Below are 4,993 nucleotides of genomic sequence, written 5' to 3'. Positions count from 1 at the left end.
TTCTACTATTTAAGCCCCATTACACATATAGTTACTGGCAATAGCCATTTCTTACCTTCAACAGGGTCAATTTACCTCTTAAAATGAGATATTTAAAGGCAGGCTGCTGGCCTGGTGTCTTGGATGGCAGATCACAGAGTTCCAAAGCCCTTAAGATGTAGCACTAGTTCTGACTAAGTCGTAATTAACTTCATCGGGAGTTACATGATAGCAACATAGAACAGAATTTGGCTGAACATTTTTAGTATTCTTCCACTTGGTAATTACTACTTCAATGGGAATTTCAAGTAAGAAACAGAGGGCAGAATTTGGACCACAAAGAGAAGTACATCAAGTTAACTGGCCCAATTTATAACGCCAATAACAGAGTGTATTAAAATCTCCCATGAAACATCCCCATTAATGCATCGATTGCATCATGAATGTGAATTGAACCCCAAACTGATTACCCAGGTTCTGTACTAAGTCCCCAGGAAGGGCAATGTGTAGAGGAGAATATGGCTAGGGAACGGCTCCATATACCAGATAACCACCCTAGAAGGCAATTATGTAAAAGCTAAGTAAAGAGCTGGACACTGCTGGGCAGTTTAACCACATAAGAAATTCTTAGGAGCCATTACAGCTCCCGTCTGGGCATTAAATATCTGAAGAATAAGATTAGGCCACTAAGATTTGGGCTTGTGCTTCAAAATGAAAACCCAATGCTAAGTTCAGAATTATACCTAAAATGATAGTTACACATTACAGAACTTCAAATTATACAATATACAACTTTTTACTACCATTAATTGTGGAACATAACATTTCCTGAAACTCTATCATAATTCTCCTTCAAAAGTGTTTATATTATACATGACCTAATTTTTATCATAAAAACTGAGACTTAATTTTTTTGGCTTGCTTGCTTTAAATTATAGTATTTAGTTGGAAACTAATTTTAGGGTATTATCAATTTGACATTTGAGTTTAAAGTACACTGAAAAAATACAAACTTATGCAGAATATAGAAAGATTATATCTTAAAAATATATTCTCTTCTTTGCTACCTGTGTTCCTCTAAGTAATTCACCTGAGGCACTTAAGAAAAGACTTAATACATTTCCTGAGGGCCAATCCACAATCCCCTTGATGTGGTGTCTGGCCAGACTTTCAATTGAAGGCCATTAACACCACTTCTCCAACCAGCCTTGAGCTAACTCTCCCCTGTCCTCAAGTCTTGAAGTTCACCACCCCTCAACAGCCCCCATTTCTGGGTGGCCATAGCATTGAGAAACAAAAGAAAAATCATAGCAACATGCCCTACCAAGTAAAGCAGACTGCACTCCATAGGCCAGCCCATTCATCAATGCACCATGTTTGTTAACATTCTGAAAGACATTTGTACAGAGAACAAATTGACGGAGCTCATGTTTATATCAGAAATCTCAGAAATGGCAGGGGATTTATTCGTGGAATCTTAATACCCATTCAGACTGTCATAAAACACAAAGGACCAGATTCAATAAAAACTCTGTCCAACTTCCACAACACTAAAGTCTGTGTGAGCCTTCAAAACAAAATCAATTTTTCCAGCTTTGCAAAGGGCTGTTCAGACTTCGGTAGCATGGAAGCCAGCTGGGGCATTTCCTAACTCATCCCCTAAATTAGTTTCAAAAGTAGTTTTGAAGACCACATTTGATCAGAAGAATTTGCACACTTTCCTCTCTCTCACTCTCTCCCTTTCTCCTCTTTTTCTCCCCCTTTTTAAAAAACACATTTCATAGTACATCACATGGAGAACAAACAACAGAACTGCAGCATATGTCTCATGCAGTTAAAAGCTTCAAAACTGGCCTGTAAAACGGAATTCTTTGGTACACAGTGAAAAAATATTTTTTGATTCCATAATCCATACTGCAGGAAAGTTGGGTGTAATCATTTTTGAAAGTTGCTGCGTCCATGGACAGCTGTTCTTCATACATACTGAGAATGTTTCCTTTACATTCCTAAGGACATGAGAGTTTGACAGCAAGCCAATACCTTTGGAAATGGTGAAAGCTAAACAAACCCCATACTGATGCTTTTACTCTCTCAACAAACTTTCTCCCACAACTAAAATGTTAAAACTTTTACCCCACAGCCCACATTCTGAGATTAGTCCAATAACTAATGTTCTGTCCAAGTAAAATACATTTTGTCATAGCTTGAAAATGTTACCTTTCACAGAAGTATAGTATTTCTGACCAGCAGGGAACATATGTCAACATTATCTATTATTACCCAATGTCAGGACCAAAAAGGGAAGGTGGGTGGTGGATGTTAATAACGACTTAAGCGATTTCTAAAAGAGGCATTTGAGAAGTACAAAGCCAGAAGTTTCAAATGTTTTGTCTTATTTTCGCTGTGTCAGCAACCTGCCCCCCCCACAAGAACAAACCTAATGCTGCCTCCGACTTGACGCCTAGTTCTCTTTTCAATTTTAGCCAACGCTTTGCTAAGCTGGAAAGTTTGAAAAATACCCTAGAAAACTTCTCCACCAGAAAATGAAAAACAAAAACATATGACCAGCAATGATGAAAGCAACTCCCACTCGCTAAGAAAAAGATTTTCAATCACAGAAGCACACAGCTTTTGGATTTGAACATTTATTTTCATTTTTCTAGCTACTTGTCTGGTGTTTAGATTTGGGGGTTGGGTTTCTTGTTGGACATTGGAAGAGACAGGGGAAATGCTGGTTGGGAGTGTAATTGTATTTAAGCAATTTTCACAAAGGTAAGCAGAAAGCATTCTCCTCAACCAACAAGGCTACAGGGGAGACAACTGCTCATTCTCAGTTGAATACGGATTCCCCTGCAGGAGTGGAAAGACACCTTCCATAACTGACCAGAGGAGGATATGTGTGTGTCTCTTGCCCTTCCTAACGTTGGATCAAGCTGTGGCACATAATATCGTGTGAACCTGTGGTTCACCATGCCCCCAACCTGGGCAGCCATGACCAGGAACTGAAAACAGACTTTGAGGCACCACGACTGGGAGCAATCAAGTTTTTGTTGTTTCCGTGGGCCATGCGGTTCTATGCAGTGTTTCCCAAGGAAAAGAGACTTGAGTTCTACTTCTCCACATGAACATCTTGGGGAAGAGATTACTTTGGGACAGGGGTCAAGACTCGTGTCCTGGTTCAGGCCCGGAACAGGAAGTATTGGAGTAATATGTCCCCTCGAGTCCTGGAGATTTGTGTAGTTTCCCTTGGGGACTTAGTGTCTCGGGGTCCTGGGCATATTGGAAAGTAGGTTCTCACTCACTTATCTCTTTGGTCACCTTAAAAATGAATCCTTCCATGTGAAGAAATCGTTCAGGAGAGATTATAGAGTAAAACCATTTAAATACATTCCTCATGATAAAAAGACTCCTACAACTACAGAAAACTCAAACCATGGCACAGCATGTGCCACAGACTGGAGGAAGGCAGCAGGGCTTATTGTTTTGACTTTTGGAGGAAGTTATCCTAATTTGTTCTTCCTCATCTCACTCAGCTTCTGAGGACAGAAGTCATAGAATGATGGGTTCCTTCTAGATACCAGTAAGACAAAAAGGAGATCTTAATTACTTATGTAGTCTACATTGCTACCCAAACAGTATTTTAATTGCTAAATGGCAGAAGTTTATATTCATCCCACAATTGAATGCTACATCTAAAATGATCAAATTACAGGGGATTTTCTGCTCTTTGTGTACAGTGCTGTTGCCCAAGGCACCAAGCAGAAGAGAGTGCTTTGAGGCAATGTTTCCAGGACTGTGGGAGAGGTGGAATGCCCTCAGTTCCCTCAGTTCATCAGTCCTCATTCACCTACTCCTCTTGGGCCCATGTTGGATTAGGAGTTTGGTTTTATTCATGGTAGAGGATACAGTTAACTGGCCACCTTTCATTTAGCACATGCCTCCTGTGAACTTCCACCTGAGATGAAAAACCACAGTAGATGTTGTATAAAAATAGTGCTAACTTAAACACACAGATTGTCTTTTAGCAGAATCATTAAATGCTGAGATGGAAAAGAAACTTAAAGGTTTAGCCTCCTTAGTTTTAAAGTACACAATTAAAACCCAGAGACGAATTGCCCAGAGGCGAATTTGCTGTCACACATCTTAGCAGATGCCCTGATTCCACTCCATTTTGACATGATATTTTGGAAAACTAAGTGATAGTATTGGAAGCCCGGACCCTGGTCCCCTCTCAGGTGGAGGGAGTTGGGTAGTGATTAGAAAGGGCGTGAGGGAATCTCTGACATGCTGACCTCTTGATCAAGTTGCTGTTTATATGAGCTTCTTCACCAATGATTTGGGCACTTTTCTGCAAGTATATTACCCTTCCATTAAAAAAAGAGGGAAGCAAAAGAAAGAAAAATAATTAAATGCAGTTTTAAAATTGTGTGCACATATAATTGCCACTTCTATTTAAAAAAAATCCTTAGATATTAAATTTAAAATAAAATTAAATACTATCTACTAAGAAGGTTGACAGGTTATCATTCCAGCCCAAACACAGGAAAATAAGAATCTTAATAGAGAAAACAGTAACACATCTTCAAAATAATAATAATTTCCATTTGTAATGTACTGACCAGGCTATGCAATATTTTATTATTTCATTGTTCTTGATCTCAAAGCACCTGTTCTCTAAGGAGAAAATTTATTTGTTTCATCATTTTATAACTATAAATACTAAAATTCAGCGAGATTTAGTAACTTGACTAATGACTAGTAGCTTGTACCACAGGAAGGAGAAACTGGACATTTTGACCCTTTCCTATCTTAGGCAATCTCTCCACTACAATATGTAGCCAGTAATAAAAATATCTTGCTTTTGTGGGGAGGTAGGATATTTTCATTCATTCCACCCAAATATGTATCAAAGATTAGGCACTTCAGGATTACAAACATGAAATGGAAACCTATCTTCAAGAAATTTGCTTTTTCATGAGGAAGTGAAACAGCTTAGTTTTTAAGATATAAGTTC

At 38.7% G+C, this 4,993-nt stretch overlaps 1 annotated feature.

Annotated features, from left to right (window-relative positions):
* Nucleotides 892-1,393: an enhancer, noted in NCBI's record as "NANOG hESC enhancer chr2:145366588-145367089 (GRCh37/hg19 assembly coordinates)". NCBI's record gives its function as "activates a minimal SCP1, AML or CMV promoter by ChIP-STARR-seq in naive H9 embryonic stem cells {active_cell/tissue: H9 hESC(naive)}" and the evidence as "EXISTENCE:reporter gene assay evidence [ECO:0000049][PMID:30033119]".

This window comes from Homo sapiens, chromosome 2 (assembly GCF_000001405.40).
Source record: "Homo sapiens chromosome 2, GRCh38.p14 Primary Assembly".
NCBI lineage: Eukaryota > Metazoa > Chordata > Mammalia > Primates > Hominidae > Homo > Homo sapiens.
The sequence above is the reverse complement of the archived record's forward strand: the minus strand, read 5'-3'. Positions and strand labels throughout refer to the sequence as shown.